The 27,966-nt window shown below is 40.9% G+C and overlaps 1 protein-coding gene and 1 pseudogene across 2 annotated transcripts in view, besides 2 other annotated features; one reads left to right on the forward strand and one right to left on the reverse strand.

Moving 5' to 3' along the window:
- Nucleotides 1–27,966, reverse strand: part of SCD5 (stearoyl-CoA desaturase 5) — a 169,258-nt gene that overhangs the window by 37,061 nt on the left and 104,231 nt on the right. For both annotated transcript variants that reach the window (NM_001037582.3, NM_024906.3), the window contains exon 3: nucleotides 14,108–14,313. In NM_001037582.3, coding sequence (NP_001032671.2) covers nucleotides 14,108–14,313 — 206 coding nt within the window. The remainder of the gene's footprint in view (nucleotides 1–14,107; nucleotides 14,314–27,966) is intronic.
- On the forward strand, nucleotides 25,137–25,907 carry SLC66A2P2 (SLC66A2 pseudogene 2; annotated as a pseudogene).
- Nucleotides 26,964–27,464: an enhancer, noted in NCBI's record as "H3K4me1 hESC enhancer chr4:83614716-83615216 (GRCh37/hg19 assembly coordinates)". NCBI's record gives its function as "activates a minimal SCP1, AML or CMV promoter by ChIP-STARR-seq in naive H9 embryonic stem cells {active_cell/tissue: H9 hESC(naive)}" and the evidence as "EXISTENCE:reporter gene assay evidence [ECO:0000049][PMID:30033119]".
- Nucleotides 27,465–27,965: an enhancer, noted in NCBI's record as "H3K4me1 hESC enhancer chr4:83615217-83615717 (GRCh37/hg19 assembly coordinates)". NCBI's record gives its function as "activates a minimal SCP1, AML or CMV promoter by ChIP-STARR-seq in naive H9 embryonic stem cells {active_cell/tissue: H9 hESC(naive)}" and the evidence as "EXISTENCE:reporter gene assay evidence [ECO:0000049][PMID:30033119]".

The raw sequence follows: 27,966 nt of genomic DNA on the forward strand, positions 1-27,966 counted from the left end.
TCGATAATATCTAAATATTAGTGAGAATGGTATCTACTTGCATCAAAAGATCTTTGTAAAATTTAACCTTGCTTTAACTTCTACATAAATATTTAAATGTTGCATAAAAACTAGCTAGGTTTTCTCCTTAGCTTTGGTAGTAAAGTAGCATTTTACTAAAGAAAGAATAATTTAGTGCAAACATATACTGTTCTTCTTTTGACTTGGTTAATCAAGGCTATGGGAAGCCAAGATTTAGAATTCAAGTCCAGATTCCAGGTACCACTATCTACATGACAGAGTTATCGAAAGGATAAGAGACAATGTGTGTAAAGACATAATGCAGGTACATAGTAAGCAGTTAATAAATAGCAACTATAGCAATCTAGGGGAAAATAAATACATATTTTAAAAAAATAATAGCTATTATTGGCTACTGAAGTGAATCAAAGATGCATGAGGATGCCTTTATTGCCATCAACAATTAAGTTAATATTTACAAACAGCAGTCCCAGAATCCATTGACACCTGTTGATTAATATGTTTACCATGCTAGTTAGTGAAGTACTCAGGTTCCAGAAATTTGAGCAACTGTCTCCTCATCTTGCCAGGGGAATTTCTTGCACATAGAAATGGGATGGTCAAAGTGGGGAAAGAAAAATGACTGCTAATGCAGTTGGTGTATTTTTATACACACACACACACACACGCACGCACGCACGCATGCAAATTCTCCTAAAGCTCTACTAGGAAAAGTACCTCTTACAGAGGCAAAAAAAATTGACATTTTTGACTTGGAAAATTTTTAAAACTCATAAAAAGCTATTGAATTATGTACCACACTGATTTTTCCCCCACCCAATATTTTAACCACTACATTAGGGAAATTTTGGTGTTGATGCTGTAACCTCAATGTTGAATCATCTCTGTCTTGTATCCCAGAATATAATTCAGCTGTTTGGCTACAACAACCATGTCTCTTTAGAAAGGCCAAAAGTTTAATAAAAGTAGTTAAAGGATATTTTACCTTTTCCATTTACTTTTAACAAAAGGTATCGAATTAAACACAGTTCACACCTCTTTAGTTGATTTTACCAAGTTCTTGAAACTGGAAGATTCAGAATTTTAATTTTTGCCAACTACAGCTGGATGCAGGGAGAATTATTCAAAGGAAAAAAATAATTTATTCTCAATTTTTTTTGTTTAACAGTAGCTGTCATTTTCAGGGACATTCTCAAAATTTTTGCAGAGCCAGGATAAGATGTAGTGGTTTGAGGTGAGGGCAGAGTAACAGAGACTTCAGGGCTCAAGCTGTTAACCAAAGATATACTGCCTCTCAAAAATGGGAGATAAGATTCAAGGAGAGGAAATATTTACATTCACAAGGAATGTTTGAAAAGAATAAATCAAAGCAGGATGATGAAGTGAGGAGAGAATATAAGAGGACAAAATTCCTCACTTCCCCACCAAAAACAACAACAAAAAGAGTCTTGCTGAGCAATAGGTTAAACAGCTTTTGTTCTCTTATAAAACTGTGAGAGAAGAAGAACATCATGGCATTAAGAACACAGTGTGACAGATGAGGCAAAATGTCTCCATGCAGAGAAGGGTACAAAAAAAGGAACAAAGCTGTCTGGCAGGTGAAAAGACAAAGACTATAGGGAGAGAAAGAGGCAAATAGACAAGAGGGAGTGAACCGAGAAACAGATCAGTGGGACGGAGATTGAGTAATGGGAGAGATTGAATGGGGAGGAGCAAAGGTGTCTGTAGAGAGAGGGGCCCAGTCAGGCATTGGGCAGATGTGTGCTGGAGTTTCCTCTTCCCACATTCCCAGACCCAAACTGGGGAGCTCTAGAAAGATAGGGCAAGTACTCTCCAGAATCTTATTTTCTTTTTCACTGTTCAATCTACAGCATCTTGAACATCACCTGACATATAGTGGGTACTCAAAACATAGTTGTCAAATGAATAAGTGATACATGTAGAAAAGAGAAAGAAGCCGACTTCGCTGAGAAAATGCCACATGCCTCATGGCATCTGTTATTAAACTGTGAGCTGGCAGAAAGGATACCAAAGAGCTGAGCTCTGCTTACAGCATGGCCAAGTGATGCTTACCTTAGGGCCAAGTTTGGTTTCCCTGCTGCAGGACCAGTATTTTACCTGAGTAAAATAGGCAATCACCAAACCCAGGGTAATTGAGTAGTAAGGGAGTGGCAGAGCATGGTTGTACTTAAAAGCCCCTGTCTCCATGTCTCTCCCCAAATTCCAAACACATGTTTAGATGCTTGGATGTCTCATCATCCAGGGTCTCTCCTTTGAGATGATTTCTACAGAGTTTTTCACAAAATACAGATAACCAACCAAGGCTTTGAATGTGCTCAACCGCACTAACATCTAGGGAGGAATTGTTCTATTAACTTAGCAACAGGTAGAGGGACCTTCATGGCAAATGGACTGAGAACAAAAAGAGACTCCCCAAAGCCCTACATAAAACCATGATCAAAGAGCAACGGATTCAGTCAAGGGAGATGGAGTCAGGTTGGTTGCAAATCCCCAGATGATACATCCCACTCCATTGAGAATCCCTAAAGTAGAAGATGAAGGTGGGGTAGAGAAGCAAAGATGAGTCAAAAATTGTTTTGTCTAACCACCCTGCCCTGGATAGATATGTGATGCTCAAAATGGAGAAATACACTTAGGGTTTAGACAGGCATGGCTACATAACGTTAAAAAAAAAAAAAGGAAAGTATCAATTTCCAGTTTCCGGTTCCACATGAAGAGCTCAGAAGTTGCCACTCATTCTAACAAGAAGTAAAATGCTGAACAAACTGAAAAAAAGTCAACAACTCTGAGATTAGTAAGAGATGTGAGATTACAGGGAAAACCACTGTTCCCAAAATTGGACAGACAGGCAGATACAGAGAATCACAACATAGGGAGTGGTTCACAGGAACTAGTGGTGTGTTAGGAAAACCTGACCTTAATTGATGAATTGCTGGAGGCTAGGTATGGACAAGTCTGAAGGTTAAAATCTCCAAGGGGGATCTAGTCATAGGGAGTCCCCCATGCTTTTGTGACTTTTCCTTCCAGGAGCTTGACCAGGTTCTCAGAGTAAGTATCAGAAAAAAAAAATAAATTCCCTTGTATTTCCACCAGGAGGAGGGGAAAAGAGCCACTTTGAAATATACCAGAGTATTCTGTTCTTAACAAGACCTACCTTCGGGAGAAACTAGTTAGCCAGAGCCTGACCTGCTGGGGTTTTATTTAGAGCCTAACCAACCTGGGGGAGGGAAAATACTCAACTCCAGCCCATTCTAGCCATCTTGTTCCACCTAAATGAGGAGAGAAGAAACTAAGAAACACTTGTGGAGTCCACAGTCCAGAGGCATAAGTTCACTAACAGACTGAGACCTAATCACAAGGCTCTAGAATGTATCTCCTACCCCCACACACCTCCCACCACACTACTGAAGACCTATATACAGCAGTTCCTTTTACTCAGTACATCATGTCCAGTTATCAAGAAAAAATTATAAGGCATAATAAAAGGCAAAAACCAAAGCAAAACAAAACACAGCTTGAAGAGACACAGCAAGCATCAGAACTAGATATAGCAAGGACCTTGGAATTGTCACACAGGAATTTAAAATAACTATGATTAACGGGCTAAGGGCTGTAACAGACACAGTAGGTAGCATGCAAGAACACACAGGCAATATAAGCAGAGAGATGAAAATCCTAAGACAGAACCACAAAGAAATGATAGAGATAAAAAATGCTGTAACAGAAGTGAAAAATGCCTTTGATAGGCTTATAAGTAGACTGGACATGGTTGAGGAAAGAATCTCTGAGTTTGACGAAATATGAATAGAAACTTCCAAAACTAAAAATCAATGAGAAGAAATGCTCAAATAAAACCACAAAAGGCAGAAAAAGAATAAAAGACAAAAATAGAAAAAAGAAAAATTGCAACAAATAGAAAATAGTAACAAATATGGTAAATATCAATTGGATGGAATAGTAACAAATATGGTAAATATCAATTGATATGGAATATCAATTCCATATCAATTCCATATCAATTGATATGGCAAATATCAATTCCATATCAATTGATATGGCAAATATCAATTCCATATCAATTGATATGGCAAATATCAATTCCATGTCAATTGATATGGCAAATATCAATTCCATATCAATTGACATGGCAAATATCAATTCCATATCAATTGATATGGCAAACATCAATTCCATATCAATTGATATGGCAAATATCAATTGGATGGAAATATCAATTTATTTCCATCAATAAAAACTTTGACCATCAATGGTCTAAATGCATCCATTAAAAGACAGAGACTATCAGAGTGGATCAAAAAACAAGACCCAACTATATGTTGTCTACAAGAAACTGACCCACTTTAAATATAAAGACACTTATAGATTAAAACTAAACGAATGGAGAAAGATATACCATTCTTATAATAATCAAAAGAAGGTAGGAGTACCTATATTAATTTCAGACAGAGCAGACTTCAAAACAAGAAAAGTTATCAGGGATAGAGAGACATTACGTAACGATATAGGGGTTAATTCTCCAAGAAGACATAATGATCCTTAATGTGTATGCACCTAACTACAGAGTGTCAAAATATGTGAAGCAAAAACTGATAAAACTGCAAGGAGTCATAGATGAATCCATAATTATAATTGGAGATGTGAACAGCCCACTATCAGAAACAAACAGATCCAGCAGGTAGAAAATCAGTAAAGACATAGTTAAATTCAACAACACCATCAATCCACAAGATATAATTGACATCTACAGGCTACTTCATCCAGCAATAGCAGAATATGCATTCTTCTCAAGCTCACATAGAACATTCACCAAAATAGAGCACATTCTGAGCCATAAAAAACACCTTAACAAATTTAAAAGAATAGAAATTATACAATGTTTGCTCTCAGACCACAATGGAATTAAATCAGAAATCAATAATAAAAGACAACTGGAGGCCAGGCACAGTGGCTCACACCTGTTATCCCAGCACTTTGGGAGGCCAAGGTGGATGGATCACCTGAAATCAGGAGTTCGAAACCAGCCTAGACAACATGGTGAAACCCTGTCTCTACTAAAAACACAAAAGTGAGCCATGCGTGGTGGTGTGCTCCTGTAATCCCTGCTACTCAGGAAGCTGAGGCAGGAGGAGGATCACTTGAACCCAGGAGGCAGAGGTTGCAGTGGGCTGAGATTGCACCACTGCACTCCAGCCTGGGTAACAGAGCGAGACTCTGTCTCAAACAAACAAACAAAAAAAGACAACTGGAAAACCCCAAAATACATGGAAATCAAACAACATACTTCTAAATAACACATGGGCCAAGAAAAAAATCTCAAGAGACATTTAAGAATATTTTAAACTGAATTAAAATAAGAACAAAACTTATCAAAATTTGTGGGATGCCATAAAAGCAGTGCTTAGAGGAAAATTTACAGCATGACTACATATGTTAGGAAAAAAATATCTAAAATCAATTAACTAAGCTTCCATCTTAGGAAACTAAAAAAAGAAGAGCAAATTAAATCCAAAGTAAGAAGAAGAAAATAAATAATAAAAATTAGAGCAGAGAGAAATGAAATTATGAACAGGAAATCAATTTTAAAAATAAATGAAACCAAAAGCTGGTTCTTTGAATCAATTAATAAAATTGATAAGCCTCTAGCCAGACTAAGAAAAAAGAGGTAGGGCACAAATTACTAATATCATAAGTCAAAGAGGGGACACCCCTACAGATCCCATGGATATTAAAAGGATAATAAAGAAATACTATGAACAACTCTGTGCCCACAAAATTGATAACCTAGATGAAATGGACCAAATCATTGAAAGGCACAATCTACCAAAACAAGAAAAAATAGACAATCTAAATAGGCCTATATTTATTAAGTGTATTGAATCAATAATTAATACCCTTGCAAAATAGAACCAGGCCAAGATGGTTCTATTTTGGTGAATTCGACCATATATTTAATTCTCTATGATAACTGGTATAATTTCTAAAAGAGAGAATTTCTTTTTTAGAAAATAAAAGCAGAGGGAATACTTCTTAATTCATTCTATGAGGTATCACCATAATACTCAAACAAGACAAAGATATTATAAGAAAACAACAAACCAATATTTTTCATGAGCCAGATGCTAAAAATCTTCAACAAAATGTTAGTAAATTAAATCCAACAATGTATAAAAAGAATTATATACTCCAACTAAGTAGGATTTATACTAGGTATGCAAGGCTGGTTCAAAATTTGAAAGTCAATTAATGTAATCTACCACATTACAGGCTAAAGAAGAAAAATCACATGACCATATCAATAGATGCAGGAAAAGCATCTGACAAAATGCAACACCCATTCATGATAAAATCTCTCAGTAAATTCTCAATGATAAAGAATATTTACAAAAAATATACAGCTAATGTCATAAAGGTGAGAGACTATATACTTTTCCTCTAAGATGAGGAAAAAGGCAAGGATGTACCCTCTTATCACTCCCTTTTGACATTATATGGAAGTCCTACCTAATGCAATAAGATAAGGAAGTAAAAGATATATCGATTGGGAAGGAAGAAATAAAATTGTCTTTGTTTGTAGATGATGTGTTGTCTTTGTAGAAGATCTGAAAGAATTGAAAATAAAAAACCATTCCTGTAACTAATAAGCTATTACAACAAGGTTGCCAGATACAAGGTTAATATACAATAGTCAATTTGCTTTCCCACATACCAGCACAAGTGGCATTTGAAATTAAAAACACAATACCATTTACATTAGCACCATAAAAATGAAAGAAGTATAAATCTAACAAAACATGTACAAGATCGGTATGAGGAAGATCATAAAACACTGATGAAAGAAATCAAAGAAGAACTAAATAGATGAAGAGTTATCCCATGCTCATAAATAGGAAGACTCAATATTGTCAATGTCTGCTTTTCTCAACTGGATCTATATTCAATGCAATTCCAATCAAAATCCCAGCAAGTTATTTTGTAGATATTGACAAACTGATTGCAAGGTTTATACGTGGAGGCAAATGACTCAGAATAGCCAACACAATATTGAAGAAGAAGAACAAAGTTGGAAGAGTGCACTACTTGACTTCAGGACTTACTATAAAGCTAAAGTAATCAAGACAGTGTGGTACTGGCACAAGAACAGACTAATTGATCAATGAATCATAACAGAGAGCCTAGAAATAGACCCACATAAATATAGTCAACTGATCTTTGACAAAGGAACAAAGGGAATACAATAGAGAAAAGGTAGTCTTTTTAACAAATTATGCTGGAACAACTGGACATTTGCATGCGAAAAAATGAATTCAGACACAGACTTCACACACCTCACAAAAAGTGACTCAAAATGGATCACAATTCTAAATGTAAAACACAAAACTACAAAACTTCTAGAAGATAACATAGAAAATGTAGATGACTCTGGGTTTGACAATTTATATATGACATCAAAGGGCATGATTCATGAGAGAAAGAATTGATAAGCTGGACATCATTAAAATTTAAAATTTCTACTTTGCAAAAGATACTGTCAAGAGAATAAAAGGACAAGCCACAGACAGGAATAAAATATTTGCAAAAGACATATCTGATAAAGGACTGTTATCCAAAATATATGAAGAACTCTGAAAACTTCACAAGAAGAAAGCAACCTGATTTAAAAATGGACCAAAGATCTTGACAAACATCTTACTAAAGAAAATATATAGATGGAACAATAAGCTTATCTCATCAGGGAAATACAAACTAAAACAACATTGAGATACCACTGCATATTAGTTAGAATGGCCAAAATCCAGAACATAGACAACAACAAATGTTGGCAAGATTTTGGAGCAACAGAAATTCTTATTCGTTGCTGTTGGGAATGCAAAACGATACAGCCACTTTGGAAGACAGTTTGGCTGTTTCTTACAAAACTAAAAATATTGTGATTGTACAATCCCACAACTGTGCTCCTTGGTATTTACCCAAAGGAGTTGAAAACCTATGTCCGCACAAAAACCCGCACATGAATGTTTACTCTAGCTTTATTATTACCAAACTGGGAAGCAACCAAGATGTCCTCCACTGGGTGAATGGATAAATAAACTTCAATAGATCTGGACCACATTTTGGTCATTATTCAGCACGAAAAAGAAATGAGCTATGAAGTCATGAAAAGACATGGAGGAAGCACAAATAGATATTGCTAAGTGAAAGAAGCCAATCTGAGAAGGCTACATACAGTATGATTCTAACTATACGACATTCTGGAAAAAGCAAAACTATAGAGATAGTGGAAAGATCAGTGGTTGTCAGGGCTTGGGGGAAGAGAGCGATGAACAGACAGAGAACAGAGGATTTTTAGGCAGTGAAAATACTCTGTAAGATACTACAATAGTGGATACATTTGTCATTATATATTTGTCCAAACCCATGGACTATACAACACCAACATGAATCCTGATGGAAACTATGGACTTTGGGTGACAGTGACGTGTCAATGTAGGTTCAACAAATGTAACAAATATTCACTCTGGTAAGGAATGCTGATAATGGGAGAGGCTATGCATGTGTGTGGGCAGGAGGTACATGGGGTATCTCTGAACCTTCCTCTCAATTTTGCTAAATTGAACCTAAAACTGCTCTTTAAAATAATGAGCCTTTAAAAACAACAAAAAAGAGGGTATCACTGAGAAATGTGATGCTCATTCTTGGGAGGTGGGAGAGAAGACTAGAGATAACAGACTAGGGGATGAATTGAGGTGAAACAGGCCTCAAAAATATTCTAGATGTTTGAGTGCCTTTCTTCCTGGAATGGCAATATTTATACATTTTGATCTCTTCCCAAGGCACCAGAACAGAACTGATTTGCTCTTTTGAACCATTCCATCCATTTTCTTTCAGTTTATCTCATCACCATGGCAATAAGGCAAGGACCTTGTTTTTATGTGTCTGGACTAGCATCCTCCCTGTCTACTTTAAAAATGCATGACAGCATTTACATGTAACCTCTAGAGGAATGTCTTCCCTAAAATGGGACTCAATGGAATAAGCAAAGCATTAGGAGAAACAGTCTCTGGATTTTATCTTCATTTTGTCATCTGAGAAAGATGATTTGAGATTCCAGTTTCTGTTCATTAATGGAGACAGAGAGGCTACCCACTTGGTTCACAAAAAATAAGACTGAGGAATATGAGATGACAAATCGCTCTGCTTAAGGCAGAACAACTGTGTGGCTATGGCAGAGACTGCTAATTGTTTACCCCATATCGATTCACCCTTCCTTCCTTAGAAACAAAACCAAGATTTTATTCAAGGGTCCAACGCATTAACCATGAGAATACATTTCCCTGTTTCCCTGGGTACAGATATGGTCAATGAGAGACAAGTGGATAGGTTGTATCTTCTAGGAAGACTCCTTAAAGGCGACCGACTCAACTCAGCAATGTGCTCCCTTCAGCCTCCCTGATTCCCCTTCTGGTTGGAGATTTAGTGATCAGTTTGCACCATGAAATGACACTGAGAATGAAAGTCCCCTGCTGAGGATGGTAGAGCAGAACGATAAAGGAATCCCAGTTCTCTACTGACCCTGCAGTGCTGCCATGTCCTCCCTGGACTGCCTGTCTCCAGAATTCTTTTATATATAAGAGAAATAACCTTCTGTCTTGTTTAAGCCAAACACAATTCTTGATGGATCCACGCTCAACCTTATGAATGGCTCACGGATAGGTTCACCCCAACATTTGCAGGTTTCAAGCTAGGAGTATAGGTGGAAGTCCCTAGCCTGTGGTTCACCCCTTTTCCTTTTCCCCTTTTGCTCTGTCCCATTAGGTGGATATCTGACCTCACACTTTAAAACTTAAGTCCCTGTGCTAACACTGCCCCTTGGCCACTCTTCAGGCCTAGGCTCTATGTATTTCCTGTTGGGAGAACAGATCCCAGGAGGAGACTGCTATAGGCTCTAGAAGAGAGCTCAGAGCATTTAGGGAGGAATCTAGGACCCTAGGAATCCAGGGCCTGGCCCAGAAGTCAAGGAAGATTTAGGCAGGTGCCATGTTCCTTTGGCCCTGTGATCTCCTCACTTTGTGGAGAGAAGTGTGGCCCTTTAAGTCATAAGACCTAGGACAGGGGCCCTAGTTGCCAGAGCCTAAAGGCAATACCACTGGCTTCTCTCCCTTGCACCTCCTAATGGCTGCCTTTACACAATTTACACATTGACAGTGCAGCAAAATGTGGTTTAGTCCAGTTAACTACTTGTTATGACAGCCTTCGTAAGATTATCTTTTAGGGTCTGGAAGTATAGCTTGAAATGTGTTGCTTTCCTGCTCCTACCTTCTCTCTTCCATGAGACTGTAAAATGGAAAGCTGATTAAGCCTCTCTGCCAAGCTTTTCTTTAGTAAGTTGTTATTAGAATGGCTCAGCAAAAGTTTATCAATCAACTGCAATATCTGTGTTAGTGTCCTGAGTGGACTGAAGGAGGAGTCTCTAAATCCTCAGTCTCTATCACCTGTTTGAGTAAACTCTCCAAGAGGCACTTAGCTGATTGATCTGCACAAACATTGCACCCTGGGAGTGTGGTGGAGTCAGCTGTGAATTCTGATTGCCTCCAACTGGAATAGGGACTGTTCCTCTAGGAAAGTCATACAAGAGCAGGTGGAGATTCAGCCCATGAGAAGTGTGCCACTGAAATGACCCAAGTCTGGGCCCCAAATGCAGCTGGGCACCTTCTTCTGTTACTCAGGAAGCTCTCCATGCAGCCCAGGGTAGCATGAACTGAGATCTGCTGTGACGGTGCCTGACACCAAGATCCACCCCTTCAGCTCCTATCCCCACATATAATGACTTTGATTCCTGTGAGGACTCTCCTCTCCACCGTCTAACTGGCAGGACCGGTAAAGCCAGCTTCACGAACATGAAAATATCTGAACAGTTGACTGCCTCTGTGTATGTTGGAAACTTGCTTCATTTAGTTCAGTGATTCTAAGCCTTATTTTGGATTACGGATCTCTATGTTCTCTATGCTGTATAATTACCACAGGACTTCAGTGCTCACCCACACATCTGAAGACAGCTGTAGCCTCTTTCAAACAGTAAAGTATAATCACAAGAACATTGAGTGAATAATCTAAGATGCATGTACTTCTGGCTTCCTCTATCTACGTTTTACTAGTTTGCTCATAGGATGTATTACACAAACACACACTCACATATTAGGATGTTCTGGCATCTTAAAAGCCTTTCTGCTTGGGGAGAGCCTGGCTTTCCTGGGCCTAGGCAATTCTTAGAGATAATAAAGGGCCCAGCCAGGAGCATGCCTTTAACATGCAAACTACATGATCCAGAGCCATCTCTCTCCTGTTTGGCCTGTACTCTCAAAGAGCAGTATTCCTCTACCTTAATCATTCTGGGGCTAGACCAGGCAACTAGGGGTGACCTCTATAGTTTAGAACGTGTTCTAAACTATAGTTCTGAGAGGAGGTCAATTTTAAGCTGTATCCTCAGCACTGATTCCCAGCAGGAGCTCAATGATACATGTGACATGATGATATGAATGAATGGTTTCTGATAGCCACAGCCTCCTTTAGTTACTGGACTGGTGATGAAAGATGTTCTCAGATGACTATTCAGGGAACTTGCTGAAATAGTCTTTGTTCTTCTTCCTGCATTTAGAAATAGTCTTTAGACATACGTGCCGCCAATACACACATAATGAATCAGACTACAACATTTTTTTATGAGAAAAGATGAAAAAAAATCTTCCATTTTTATGGTCAGAGAAACCCAGACTATTATACCCGGCTCATTTCTCATTAATAAAACAGAAAATCTTTTGCCTTCTCATCTGAACTCTTCAAATTAATCTAAGGTCTGATTGTCCCAAAGTATTATTAATTATATAGCAACATCATTTGTATCACAGAATTGGAAATGACATACATAGCTGACCACAGAATGATGGTTAAATAAACTATGACATGCTCAACTGATGGAATCTTCTGCAGCCTTTGACAATGGTGTCTACAATACAATCTGAGGTAAAGGGTGAGACATAAAATTACATATGCGATACGACTGCCATCATGCAAAATATATGAAATAGAAAGAGATACTACTGAATATTAATAGTGTCTGTTTATCTGTTAAGACTGTGAATGATTTTCTTTCTACTTCTCTGAATTTTTCATCTTTTTCTCTAATGACCTTCAACATTTTACACTCATAGTGAAAATCAACGTCAATAAATCATTGAATTATTAATTGAAAATATCTTGTTGGCTGGGCGCAGTGGCTCATGCCTGTAATCCCAGCACTTTGGGAGGCCGAGGAGGATCACTTGAGGTCAGGAGTTCAAGACCAGCCTGGCCAATATGGTGAAACCCTGTCTCTACTAAAAAATACAAAAATTAGCCGGGCGTGGTGGTGCATGCCTGTAGTCCCAGCTACTCGGGAGCCTGCAGCAGGAGAATCGCTTGAACTCAGGAGGCAGAGGTTGCAGTGAGCCGAGATCACGCCACTGCACTGCAGCCTGGGCGACAGAGTGAGACTCCATCTCCAAAAAAAAAAAAAAAGAAAGAAAAGAAAGAAAGAAAGAAAGAAAGAAAGAAAGAAAGAAAGAAGGAAGGAAAGAAAGAAAGAAGGAAGGAAAGAAAGAAAGAAAACATCTTGTTATTTTCTGCTATAAAACTTGATACTGGGTATTTTCACCTAAAAGAGCTGAATTGATACCGGGTGTTTTCACCTAAAAGAGCTGTATTGAGATGTACAGAGAAAACCCTACAGTGAAACCAACAGAAAGCAGTGATGGAAACAGAGAATTCTCTAGTCTATCAACTGCCTGTGTAATAATAATAATGGCTGACATTCACGAAGCTCTTACTATGTGCCAGGCATTTTCCATGCATTTTAAAAATATCTTCATAAAAGCTGTAGGAGATAGGTATTACTGTTACTCCCATTTTATAGATGAAGCTGAGACTTAGAGTGGTTGATTCATTTGCTAGTAAGTGGAGGAGTCAGAGACTTTGATTCCAGCAGTCTGTCTCCAGGGTCTGCCAGTTTCTCACTATGCTCTACTGCTCCCCTCAGCGTAAAAGGAGAGGCTTTGGGGGGAAAGAGCACAGTCCTAAGCCATCCTTCCTTTCATGCAAAGATTCTTGTGTTGAACAAAGGCATAGCCTCCATGTCCATTTTCAGTCTGAAAAGGAGATTCTGTTTAGGTAAGTCCTCAGATGACTCCTACCCATCAGTGGAGATGGTCACTAGTAACCACTTATTCAACATGCTGTCTCAAGGCTCTAACTGGAGCATGGTCCATATGTTGCCCATCTTTGCACATAAATCTATTGCTTTAGGTGCTACAAGCTCATCACAGCCAAATTTTGCAGACCCAGACCAACCCAAGAACAAAGGTCGCTCTCTACTTGCCAGCACAATTGTAGGCACTCTTTCTTCATGTGCTTATAGAAAGCAGTTTCATCCTGCAAATGCTGGCCGACTGGGTATGCTCAGCCGACACCATCAGGGCATATGAGTGCTTTGAGGCCTTCTGTTGAATGGTCTCATTTTCTCTGCACAGAAACCTACTAGTGTAACGTTTCCATGAGTGATGGGCAGGGCAGAGGTTTCACTACAAGAGAATTTCAGGACACAGTAGGATACCTGGAGAGAGTTCAGTCCTTTTGGAGTCAAGTAGAGTCAAGTGTGTCACTAAAATGAAGCCAGCCCCCCTTCTGCTACTCCAGAGAATCATGAATGGGGCAGTGGGGAAACACAGAAACAGATTCCATGAAATCAGCCATGCAAGATTAGTTTGAAGATAATGACACTGGGCTTAAAGGAAATCCATTACAAATGAAACTTATAACTCAAAACAAATGTGCCAATGGGCAAAATTTAATGAGCAAAAGGAAATTAATAAATAGAGATAAATCTTATAAATATGGCAAAATTGTTAGGGCAAATGCTTGAGAAGAACGCTATGGGGTTATGAGTCCACCTCATTGTGCTGTTTCTATGTCCTGGCCCCTGAGGGACAGCTCTCCGTCATGCCCATTCACTTACTTTCTCTGGATCCGGACCACAGGATCAGCAAGCAGGTCAGTGACGTCAAGCTTTCTCCCCTTCTCAATAACATCTCGATGCTTGCGAACAAACAGCCACCCAATATGGGAGAAGAAGAAGCCCCGGCGGGCATTGTGGGGGTCAGCATCCGTCTCTGAGTACTTGTGGTGGGCTCGGTGGTCCCTGGACCACTCGAAGATGTCATTCTGCAGAGAGAATGAGAGCCTGAGTGAAGAGAGGAACCGCACCGCCGAGCATCCTCCTGGGAAGCTTCCCAGCCTCCCCTCCCCCACCAGTCCTCACTGCTGGTTTCACTTTCCTCCTGTCTTCAACCCACAGTCCCTCAACCTCAAGTTCAATCCCCTGTGGTCTGGAGTGGTTTTCATCAGAACAAGAGTAAATCTTCACTTAGCAGGGATCTCAGCTTACGTGTGGGACGTACCCACTGCAGGAAGTTCAGGCTTGTTGGGTGAATTAGTGCAGAGACCTGAAGGAAAGCTCTGGTGGGGGCGACTGAAGTCTCCTAGATCATTTATGTCAAGAAAAAAGAGATCTTTTTTGTGGCTGCACCGTATTCCATGGTGTAAACATACCACATTTTCTTTATCCAGTCTATCACTGATGGACACTTAGGATGATTCCATGTTGCTATTGTGAATAGTGCTGCAGTGAACATACATGTGCCTGTGTTTTTATAATAGAATGATTTATATTCCTTCAGGCATATACCCAGTAATGGCATTGTTGGGTTGAATGGTTGTTCTGTCCAGATCTTTGCAGGGACATGGATGGAGCTGGGGGTCATTATCCTTAGCAAACTAATGCAGGAACAGTAATCCGAATACCACTGTCCTCACAAGTGGGAGCTAAATGATGAGAACACATGGACACATAGGGGAACAAAACATCCTGGGGCTATCAAGGGTGGAGGGTGGGAGGAGGGAGAAGATCAGGAAAAATATCCAATGGGTACTAGGTGTAATACCTGGGTGATGAAATAATCTGTACACACACCCCCATGACACGTTTACCTACGTAACTAACCTGCACATGTACCTCTGAACTTAAAAGTTAAAAAAAATGAGGGAGAGATGTTCTTAGGATGAAATCTTGGTTGTCATAAGAGAGGGGCAGTCCTGAGTAGGAATGGTGCCGGTTCTTGGCCCAGATGTCTCTGCCTCTCTCCTCACTTTGGTGTTCTTCATGTGTGACTCACAGAGATCAGGAAGCCAGTAGTTTAAAAAAACCCAAATGGCTACTTCCCCAAATCTCTGCAAAATACCAAGGCACCAGTGGCATCATTTTAGGACTGCTCTAACAGAGTGTAACAGAAACAGAAGGGGGACAACTTTGGCTCCTTGGGAACCTGGTGTATTGGCAATCCACCAAGTGGAGAGGCAGCAGTGGCTGAGGAACAGGGCAGCACTCACTGGAGCCCTGAGACAGACTCTGGTGCCCCTAGAAGGACAGGCAGCAGAGTCCAGCAGAGTCTGCCCAGCCCACAGAGCTGAAGTAGGGCTCAGTGCATGTGGGGAGCACACCCTATTGGACTTCTCATAATGGGAGACACGGGAGGGTGTCAGGGGCTGAGCTATCAGGGGCCAAGAATTGATGGCATTCACTGTTACAATTAATGAGACCTTAGCTATAGCAATGAGTCAGTGAGATCTACAGACGTTTTTTTACACTAATTTTTTTTTAAATCTGATGATGCTTTCAAAACTTTGAGAAGATGAATTAAATTGGGAAGCAGTGCTTTTGATAGGAAAATCTGAAAATAAAAATAAATTTAAGTATTATATTACATTAGCCTTTTCTGATTATGACAATAGTAATAATATTTTATACCATAATATTCAATACTGGGTAATGTTCTCATTAGGAGTCTACCATTTCATAGAGATTGGCTTCATCCTTCTGATGAGAAGGGAAGAAATTGTTTTGTTTTTGTTTGTTTTTTGAGACAGTCTTGCTCTATTGCCCAGGCTAGAGTACAGTGGTGCAATCACATAGCTCTCTGTAGCCTTGACCGTCTGGGCTCAAGTGATCCTCCCACCTCAGTCTCCCAAGTAGCTGGGACTACAGGTGTATGCCACCATGCCCAGCTAATTTTTTGTTTTTCTTTTTGAGACGGACTCTTGCTCTGTCGCCCAGGCTGGAGTACAGTGGTGTGATCTTCGGTCCCTGAAACCTCCGCCTCCTGGGTTCATGCAATTCTCCTGTCTCAGCCTCCCGAATAGGTGGGATTATAAATGTGCGCCAACAAATCCAGCTAATTTTTCTATTTTTAGTGGAGATGGGATTTCACCACGTTGGCCAGGCTGGTCGAAAATTTTAAAAATCCACCTAATCCTTGGGTTTTGGGGGAGAGAAAAAGGAGGCAGAAAGTTCCGACAAGCATATGTTCAGCTTTGAATATAAAGAGAGAAAACAGGAGCATGGCGGTTTATGTATATCAAAAATTATAGCCTGGCTTACTGTAATATGAAAGAGGTCTTTAGATTTTACAGTGTATTTAAACATGGTGGTTGGACAGAGTGAAAACATTTTATTATTTAGAATCACAGAATTTGGAGGTGTAAAATAATTTCAAATGTCAATCAAGACTGCTGTGGTCTAAGAAATAATTTCTTCCTTTTGCATTAGTTTATTGCTTTTATTGTAGTGCCCATGTGAACACGACATAGAAAGAACACTCTGTCCCCCATTCACAGATGGCAAAATTAAAGCTTAGAGGACATTTATATAAGTTCATCCAACAAATCAAAACATAATAGAACTAAGATGGCATTTCCTTGGTTCTCAGTTCACATTTCCATCAACAAAATATTTCCCTTACTCTCCAAATGTTGCAGGGAGGGATCTTTTATGGAAAACTTTCTTTCATCTTGTTAAAAGGTTATATTGGCTTGATATGGTTTGGCACTGTGTCCCCACCCAAATCTCATCTGTAACTGTAATCCCCATGTGTTGAGGGAAGGACCTGGTGGGAGGTGATTGGATCATAGGGTCAGTTTCCTCCATGCTGTTCTCATGATATTGAGTGAGTTCTCACGAGATCTGATGGTTTAAAAGTGTGTGGCAGTTTCCCCTTTGCTCTCTCTCTTGCTCTACCATAGTAAGACATAGCTTGCTTCTCCTTCACCTTCCACCGTGATTGGAAGTTTCCTGAGCCCTCCCCAGCCACGCAGAACTGTGAGTCAATTAAACCTCTTTTCTTTATAGATTACCCAGTCTCAGGTAGTTATTTATGGCAATGTGATAATGAACTAATACATGGCTGTTTAATTCAATGTCATGCAATCTTGTAGAAACTCTAAGTGAAGAGTTTCAAATAGCTAGAAACATTATTCTCACAAAATTAATTATAATACAACAACAATGAAAAGACCCATCATGATGAAGAAAAGTTCAAACAGAGATATTTATTTTCATTCCTTTCACCTGGATACCTTTCCAACAGAAGCTACCTGACTGCAATAGTGGAATGAAGCAAGTATAACAGTGGAATGAAGCACATTCCAAATAATCAAGCACATAATGAAGCCAAAAATACTTTAAGATGTATTTTTTAATCCTTTGTTATTGTTTTGTTTTCAAGTGTAAAGCTGAGTCCAGTGAAAAATGACTCAAAGAATAAGATGTGTTTTGTAGTTCTTGGGAACTTGGTAATAAATAAATTAAAAAAAGAAATTAAAGAACAAGATGTGCATCAACAATAGAGCAGAAAGGGAGCAAGATTTATATGTTCACCCAATCAATCACCTTTCTTCCCTACTTACCTGCACTTTTGTCTGCTCTGGAGTGATTGGGAGTGGGTGGGTAGGGGAAAGAACCTACCTGTGAATAGCATTTGTGTTGAAAAGGTTTGGGTACCTAGAGCTCATTTTGGTACAGTCAGTATGTGCTTTAGCAACAAGAAGAGGGGAAAGCTGAGGATTAATGAGGAGGGAGAGATGGCCCAACCATCTCAACCTTGGGAGGCGGGGAGTGAATGGAGATCAACTGTACTGGAAGCCATACCCCCAGCGGTATCCTGATAATCTCTCTTCCTCTTAGTGTTTGCATGGTGCTGATAGCTCTTGTCTAAAACTATGTGTGCCACTCCATCACCTTTGCTGCACGGGAAACAAAAACAATATTAAGGCATACAGAGATGACAAATGCCCATCATGAACTGACTGTCAAGTATGGGTAATCTGTCTGTTCATGTTCCATGTACATATTCTGGTAGGGACATGATGTTGAACTCAGCAGTAATTCCTGAAGCTTAGATACTTAAACATTCAAACAAATCAATTACCAAATTATTGTATTAAATTTGCAACTTAGAGTTTATACTGAATTGTAGGTTCCAGTAGATCACAGTCTTACTCTGCAATCCATTAAAAGTGCACTCTCACCACATGTTAATTGATTATTCCTGATAAAAAATTGGAATACTGAAGGGAGCTACATTAGTTCTAAGAACGCTGGGCATAAATGAGGCACAGGTAGGTGGGCGAGCGAGAGAGGAGTAGGAACAGAACAAATCCGGAGTGTAGAGCTCAGGTGGTAGGCTTCATTAGCAGAGACGCCATACTATAGTCCTACTTTGCAATAGAAATATAACTCAAGCCACATAATATAACTAATATTTTCTTAGTAGCCACATCTAAAAAGTGAAATGACCCTTGATTGAACTTGGGCTACAGAAAAAATTAATAAAATAAAAGGTGAAAAGAGGCTGGGCACGGTGGCTCATGCCTGTAATCCCAGCACTTTGAGAGGCCGAGGTGGGCGAACCACCTGAGGACGGGAGTTCGAGACCAGCCTGGCCAACATAGTGAAACCCCATCTCGACTAAAAATACAAAAATTAGCCGGGCATGGTGGTACGCGGCTGTAATACCAGCTACTCGGGAGACTGAGGCATGAGAATCACCTGAACCTGGAAGGCAGACATTGCAGTGAGCGAGATCACACCACTGCACTCCAGCCTGGGTGACAGAGCAAGACTCTGTCTCAAAAAACAAAACAAACAAAAAAAAAAACTAAAAACAAAAAAAGTGAAAAGAAACAAGTAAAATTAATTTTAATAATATATTTTACTTAGTGTAACATACCCAAATATTATCATTTCAATGTATAATCAGTATAAAAATTATTGAGATGCTGTACATTATTTTTTTTCCGTACCAAGTCTTAGAGATTTTTCACTTGTAGCACACCTCCAGGGGCTTGCCGCATTTCAAGTGCTCAGTAGCCACACGTAGCTAGTGACTACCACACTGAGCAGTGCAAGTCTAACTCATGGCTTATGCACTTTTTTTTTTTTTGAGACAGGGTCTCTCTCTGTCACCCAGGCTGGAGTGCAGTGGTGTGATTATGGCTCACTACAGCCTCAACTACCTGGGCTCAAGCGATTCTCCCATCTCAGCCTCCCCAGTAGCTGGGACCACAGGCACATGCCACTATGCCCAGCTAATTTTTTTATTATTTGTAGGGATGGGGTCTCACTATGTTACCCAGGCTGGTCTTAAACTTCTGGGCTCAAGGGATCCTCCTGCTTCAGTCTCCCAAAGTGCTGGCATTACAGGCATGAGCCACTGCACCCAGCCACTTGTACGCTTTTCAATGTGTGCATTATACTTCAAATTTAAAAGTTTGAAGAATTAAGAATTCAATGCTGCCTACTGGTGAGAATGTGAAATGGGCAGAAAGTGTGTGAAGGGCAAATGAGCACTACATATCAAAAACCCTAAAATTGTGCATATATTTTCATCTAACAATTCACTTTCTGGAGTTTATCTTAAGGAAATCATGGTTGTGTTCAGAGATTTAACCACAAGGATGCTAACTGCAATAAAAACTTGGAAAGACCCTGCATTTCCCCATAACAGGATTTGATTAAATATTTTGTGATAAATTAATTAAATAGTACTTGTGTGTGTATACATATACAATAAAAGCTTATATATACATGAAAGAAATAGTAAGAGAAAAAGCCTTAGTGTTACCTCATGGGAATGAAATTGGGAGGTAGGAATGAGGAGAAATACTTTTATGCTTGATCCTATACTCTGAAATTATTAGAAAGAATTCTACTAGTGTTGTATTAAAAACTAATTAACAAAAAAAAGGCTATTGTAGTATTGACCTAGAAAGATGAAGGTAAAAGTAGTTAAAAGAAAAGTACTTCTTCGCCGGGCAGGGTGGCTCACACCTGTAATCCTAGCACTTTGGGAGGCCAAGGCAGGAGGATCACTTGAGATCAGGAGTTTGAGACCAGCCTGGCCAATATGGTGAAACCCTGTCTCTACTAAAGGTACAAAAATTAGCTGGGCATGGTGGTGGGCACCTGTAATCCCAGCTACTCGGGTGGCTGAGGCAGGAGAATCGCTTGAACCTGGGAGGCTTAGGTTGCAGGGAGCTGAGATTGTGTCACTGCACTCCAGCCTGGGCAACAGAGTAAGACCTTGTTACAAGAAAAAAAAAAAAAAAAGAAAGAAAGAAAGAAAAGAAAGAAAGAAAGAAGAAAAGTACTTCTCAAAACACTATGAATCCATTTTTAATAAAAAATATAAGTTTAAGCATGGGAAAAACAAAAGAAGTATCTTAGCCAAACTGTTTGCAGTGGTTCTCTCTAGGAATTGGGACTGTGGGTGACTCTTTTTTATTTTGTCTGTGTTTTGTAAATTTTTATAATAAACAGATTATTCTTTTGTAATACAGGAGAAACAAGTTATTTTTGAAAACATTTCTATATTCCTGAATGAAAACAACCCAGCTTCTCCTCGATGAAGCAGTTAAGATTCATCTGGCAATCCAGTCTGTTAATACACCTTTATGTCATCCTTCTTCTATCTTTATTCTCGTTAGCAACTAATCAACCAATCACACGTCAAGTGGTGTGGCAGTGCCCTCGCTTGAACCCATTCTGTATTTTGTGCCTCCATTACTTCACTATCCATGATTGATAACATACCTAAGTGGGGTCTCCACTGAAACTGTAGAAATTGAAATTGACCATGAGGTGATTTTTCTCCCACGCACAGCCTTTGAGTGTTATCTGGGACTTGAGCAAAGGTCATCAATCTCAAGAGTCCACCGAAAAGAGGTATGAAGCAACCTGCTCCTTCAGAACTACTCCCCAGCTTCCTTTTATGTTCAAAATAAATTCTCGAATCTAGTCATCTAAATGGCAACAGAGGACACTGTCTTTTAAGGCCCACATAATTTCCACTGGTTAGCAAGATGAAGGCTAAATGTAAACAGCATTTAGCTTGTCCCATTCAGCAGATCTGAAACCAGAATCATTGATTGGTTTTCCCCTAGCCTAGCTGGAAACAGTTGCTTGCTCCCAACCAGACACCAAGATGGTTTTGCTATCCCTTAATTCAATTTTGTGGCTGTTTAAAGTTCCAGAACAAAAAACTTCCCAAGCAGTCTCAAAACATAGCCAAAGGGAATTCCACTTGTATTCATAACACATCTTTGTTTCCAGTCAGTAGTGAAAAAGAAACCAGGACCAACATGTCAACATGTCAGCTTGAACAGGCAGGTTTTAGAGTAGAAAATATGCGTGTGCATGCATGCATGTACATGTGCATGTGCGTGTGCGTGCGTGTGGTGTGTGTGTGTGTCTGAATGGCATCCTTTCTGGGAAAGGAGCTGTTCTATCAAGAGGGTCAAATAGAAAAAGATACTGGTGGCTCCACTCCTTAGAAACTGTAAGGCTTACTAGAGATAGACTTTATCTCTGTCTCTGGGGTCTAAACTTAATCTCCTCCAGTTCAGACGCCAATTCAAACAGTGAAAAACAATGTTGGGTGCTTTCCCCATTGTTGATACGGGGTCAGTACTTATTTCTCTCCAGATAATAGGCTAATCTGTAAGAATATCCCAGAAAGTCCCCAAGAGTGGCCTGGCAGCAGTCCACACCACCTGGCAAATTGTGGCTTTGAGAGGACAAGTTGCCACCTGCTGCCTTGCCTTCATGTGGCACTTGGTCTACATAGGTCTTAGAGGCTGGGTAAGTGTTGAAAAGTCAACCTTAGTAGTTTAAAAAGTGCCAATAAAACTTAAAGTTTGAAAAAAAGGAAAGAAATGTTTCATATTTTCTTCTATTACTCTTTTGTTTAAATCTCTTAACAACGAGAATGTATTCAAATAAGACTTTTCACTTTTAAAAAACCACATATTTAACACATACTTTTAAAATGGCATAGACAGTCATCTTGGCAAATAAGTTGGTCTTCTGGAAATCTTTCCAATTTGGGCTTTGGAGGGCTTTTGGTCAGTGATGTGACCATTATTCTAGTCTCCTGAACTAGATCTCCTTTATTCCATGAGTTAAAAATTGAGGGGGAAGAAAGGGCCTAGAAAACAATGATAACCCAATAGCAATGAACATATTTAGTTCCCACAACTTGTTTTTAAAATACCATTCTCCACTAAAAGGAATCAGGAGTGTGGAGAAATGGCTGGTGCCAGGACTGGGGTAGGAAAAGTACACGGGGAGCTCAGTATATTTTGTTGTGCCGGAAAGGAAGTGCTTAAAAAATGATGGGGCATGTCGAAATGACAGAAGAGCCACGTGTGGTGGTGTGCATCTGTAATCCCAGCTACTCAGGAGGCTGAGGATTTCAAGACCAGCCTGGGCAACACAGCAAGACACCACACTAAAAAGAAAGAGTTTTTTCTAAATACTAAAAAAAAAGAGGCATTTGTAGTGCCTCCCACTGAACAAACTGGGGTAATTTGGTCATTAAAATGAATAATGACAGTAATGGATTATAATCCATGTAATCAAAAAACAGTCCATGGGCTATAAATACATTGGAAAAAGCAAACTTTTCTTTACAGTAAAATACCAATTGACAAATGTAGAAGAAATAATAGAGTTACAAAATCACCATTTTGCAGCTGTCATGGCAATAACTGAGTCAGGCAAGAATCCCCAATGTTTGCTAAAACTATTGGGTAAAAGTTTGATGAAGATAAAATATTCATATAGGCTCATAATCTTTGCATAAATTAATTCAATAATTACAAAATAAAAATAGCAATTTTACAGTGGAGAAACTTAGCAGATGCCACCTTAACCAAATGATCAAAGTTCATACCTCTAATAATGTGACAAAGTGATGTCATGTGCCTCTTTTTCAATGCTGAGGAGGACACAAGAATGCTAATGTAGTACTCCCACCAAAAATGCAGAGTTTGAGTCTAATTATGAAGTAACATGAGCAAACCCAAATGGAGGAACATTCTACAACTTAATTGGCCAGTACATTTCAAAAATATTGATGGCATAAAATTAAAAAAACAAGGAACTATTCCAGATGAATGGAATCTAAAGAGACATTATAACTCATTGTAATGCATAATCCTCAATTGGACCCTGAACTATTATAGAATCCTGGATACAACATTAAATCCCTGACTTTGGTAAGTGTATTCTGTCTATGTGAAAGTGTCTTTGTTATTAGGAAATACACACTGAGGTATTTGGGAATAAAGGGGCATGATGTCTATAACTTACTCCCAAATGATTCATAAAAAAAGAACACGTAAGAATGCACATGCATGTACAGAGGAAAGAGCAAGGGAATAAAGCAAATGAGCAGTACTCTAAGAGTTGGTGAATCTAGGTGAAGGCTATACCCAAGCTCATGATTTTCTGCAACTTTTCTCTAAGTTTCAAAATAAAAGATCTGAAAAAATTATTTCAAAATAAAAGTGAAAGCTAAAAACAAAAATTTCATGGGCACTCTTCTTTATAATCTCAGCTTTTCCCCTTCCACTCCATTTCTACTCTACCACCCTTGTTCAGGCTTTTATCAATTTACTTGGATGCTGTAATAACCTTCTAACTGCCTCCCACTTATAGTAATTTTCCTCTCCACAATACATTCGGCATACTGTTAACATCCTCTTTCCATTCATACTCCCCAAAATCTATCATTCTTTTGCTTATTATTTGACAATCTCTGTGTATTACTTTTCTTATAAAATCTAAACTTTTCTTCTTCTTGAAAATCAGACAGGTTTCTTTGACTGGACTCATTCTTATCTTTCCCATATTTTATCCTTTAATTTGACTGATATTTACTGACCGGTACACACTAGAAGATAAAGAACAAACAGGACAATTGAGGCTGTGTCCTCAAAGAGTTTATAGTTTATCGAGGAGACAAATACTAAACATAAAGTAAATGAAGTCAACATAAGCGAAATAATTTTAGACTGGGATTAGAGCTGTGAAGCCAATAAAGGAGCTGAACAAAGGAGGACCTTAATATAGGCAAGACCATTTGTTTTTTTGTTTGTTTGTTTTGTTTTGTTTTGTTTTTGAGATGGAGTCTCACTCTTGTCATCCAAGCTGGAGTGCAGTGGTGCGATCTTGGCTCACTGCAACCTCTGCCTCCCAGGTTCAAGTGATTTTCCTGCCTCAGCCTCCCGAGTAGCTGGGATTACAGGCACTCACCACCACACCCAGCTAATTTTTGTATTTTTAGTAGAGACGGGGTTTCATCATGTTGGCCAGGCTGGTCTCCAACTCCTGACCTCAGGTGATCCACCTGCCTTGGCTTCCCCAAGTGTTGGGATTACAGCTGTGAGCCACTGCGCCTGGCCAGCAAGGCCATTCTTAACTGGGTCATCTTCAGGTTGAGAGGAGTTGGAGGTGGAAGTGTGGGAGGGAGAGGGGAATTGTCTCAGGTAGAGGGAAGGACTTGGAACAATCGAGGAACTAAGAAAAGGCCATTGTGTAGGTAGCATGGTGCTAGGACAAGCCTGGTATGAGATGAGGTCTAAGACACATTATGCTATAATAAAGAATATATCTGGTCTTTGTGCCTGGTTCTTGGCACAGAGGTTTAAAAACCCTTGGAATTTCCTGATAGGAAATTCCACAACTCTTATCCTAGAGGTGACTTTCATGGGCCCCTAGATAGCCTCAGGATGGGAGCAGATCACCAGAAAGACCAGCCATGTGATTAGAGAGGTGGGTGTCAGCTGCCCAACAGGGCAACACAAATGTTCCGGATAGAAGCAGAGACCTAGATGGGCTTCTGATGCCCTTGCACCAGCTGGTTTCCTAAAGGGAAGCTGGGGCCATGGTCTTTGGAGGGGTGGTGCTGTAGATCCCGCAGTGCAGTCACATCCAGAGGACTCAGACTACCGATGGCTTCTCTAGCTAGGTGTGTCTGGTGTTACTGGTGCCTAATATTTTACAGACATTCTTCTGGTTTGGAAGGCATTTTGAGTCACCTCTCTTGTAGCAGAGCATAATCATGTTGTCCATGTTGCTGATGGTGAAACTCTGCCCTGAGATCTACATGGCAAAGGAGCTAAGCATAAAATCCTTGGATCTTCACCACTCCTGGCACTGGAGCAGTTTCCTGGGCTATGTGGAGTGTGTCTTGGCCTTTGCCGGCATGGTAGGTTAGATCAGGACTCGTCCATCGATTGGGGCCTGTTTGTGGAGACTCTGGGCTTCCTGGCCATGCTGACCGACGCCATGATGGACCTGCCCCAGCTCTACTGCAACCACTGCCATGGGTCCTGAGGACATGAGCATCCAGAGCACTCATGAGGACAAGGGCAGTGCCCTCGGGACCACCTACTTCCTGCTGAAAGCTGCCCATGCAGTTCTTGGTCTGCGCCTGCTGCAAGTGCTGGTGGACCTGGCCATCCTGGGGCAGGGGTGCCCTTCACCCACCACCCTGAGAAGCCAGCACCCCACACAACACACCCCACCATGGCCAAAGCACTTCTGAGCTGGCCAGGGAGGAAAAAGATGTGTGACTGCCAGCTGGCGCCTGTTCTCCCTACGTCGGGAGCAGGCATCGCAGCCCCTGAGCGGAGAGGCGGTATCCCGTGTCAGGTTCTCCATCAGCGGCTGCGTGGGGCTCTCAGGGCAGCCAGGCCGACACTTGGCTCACCACTGCTGGGGGGTGCCACAGTGGATTTCACACTCAAGGGCTGGGTCTCCGGTGATTTTAAGGTGATGGAAAAGGCAAGTGTCTTTTCCCACTTCCTCTCAAAAACCACCCAGCCTGAACCTGAGATGTGTTCATAAACACACCAGAAGGCAAACTCCAGTCCGCTGAGGAACAGCAGCCCTCAGGAACCTTCTCCAATCTTATTCAAATCCTGGCCCCAACCTCTCAGGTCTGCCTTGGCCCACAAGCTGGCTTCCCTGAGGGAGAGGCTGAAGCTGGGGATAAGTAGGATCCACGAGCCAGGGGGACCCAGGCAAGCCTTGAGGCTGGGGCTGGGGAAGCGAGGAGGAGACCAGGTATCAGGAGACCCTGCAAGTCCTGGGAGCAGAGACTTTGGACTCAGTGTGACCCTGATCAGACACCCTGGTTGGATGGGGGTGGCCTCTTCTAACCAGTGAGGTAGGCACAGAGGGCAGGGCCGGGTTTGCTCTGCTCCCGATTGTAGGGATGCAGTGGCACCTGTGCTCTGGGTTTTCTGGCCAGAGTTGGCATCTCAAGGGTCTGCAGAATGAGTGCCTCCTGATACTCAGCTCCGGTGCCTTTGACCTTGCCCAGCAGTGGGGTCTGGATGCCTAGCTTCTAGGCTGGCCTCTTCCTGGAAGATGCTGGTGTGACATCTCTCATTGCCTGTCCCTATTTCCCTAATTATCCCTCACCAATGTTTAAGCCAATCCCTTCAGTCCTACCACTAAATTATATCTTGAATCTGCACACTTCTCATTTTTACCACCTTTTCTAGTTCAAGATCAACTTTTTTCTAGGCTACTGCAAAAGCCTCCTGAACTGGTCTTCCTGATTCAATGCTTGCCCCTCTCTATTGTAGCCAGAGAGAGCTTATTGGAAATTACTCTACAGCAAAATAAATAAATAAATAAATAAATCAGTGGCTTAGCACTATATTTGGAATGAAATCCAACCTCATTATTATGTTCTAAAGGGCTCTGTGTTGGAACACCCCTGGGGTGAGAGGCAAGCCCATGTCCGAGCCTGGCTGGGCATTGTCCAGAGCAAGCTCAGGGGTGTTCCAGCCAGAGCCTCTGGTTCTGAGTGCTGGGGTCCCCCAGACGGACACAGAGGTCCTCCTGGGTGCATGGGAAGGCTGAGGGGGCTGAGGGCAGAGGCTGTATAGACACAGCCCTGCCACCTCCCTGAAGAGGACTCCATTTGGGAAGAGTCCTTTTACTCTGGATATTGCACACACTGGCCGGACACAGCTTTGATGCCCATCGTCCAGGATACAGAGGTGGCCTCCAGTCACAAGAGGGAATGCGGAGGGCAGGGTGCGTGGCACCCTATGCAGGGTCTGGCTGCTGGGATGGCCCATCTCACACTCTGCTACTGCTGTCCTGGGCTCTTGGGTCCGAGGCAACCTCCAGAGCATGGGCAGCAGCCTAGCCGCAGGCGCCTCTGCCACCGTCCTCTGTACACTGTCCACCCAGGCATGTTGGGTCCCACAGTTCTGAGTCTGCTGCCTCTGACTGGTGGGAACCACTGGTCACTCCAAATCCCCACTCCCCACCTTTTCAGTTTAACACAAGCCCACACCGTGCTTAGCAGCCCTGTGCTGACTCCAGGCCCTGGAGTTCTCAGATGCTTGCCCACGGTTCCCACAGGCATCATGTTCCCTTCTGCTGGGCGGAGGGGCCACTTCCCATGCAGATGTTGACGCTGTCAGTGCCAAAGCTTTATGACTTTAGCATTATTTGCTGTGGCCAGTGGGAAAATGTTCAAAGCTGTTTCCACCTCCTGAGTTTTCCTCAGGAAAACTCTTGAGTATTTCAGTGAGGATCTTGTTCTTAGACCTTTGGCCTGTAAGAGGCTTTGAAAATTTTATTTTATTTTTTAATGAAAGAAGATATCTGTGGTGGTA

This window comes from Homo sapiens, chromosome 4 (genome assembly GCF_000001405.40).
Source record: "Homo sapiens chromosome 4, GRCh38.p14 Primary Assembly".
NCBI lineage: Eukaryota > Metazoa > Chordata > Mammalia > Primates > Hominidae > Homo > Homo sapiens.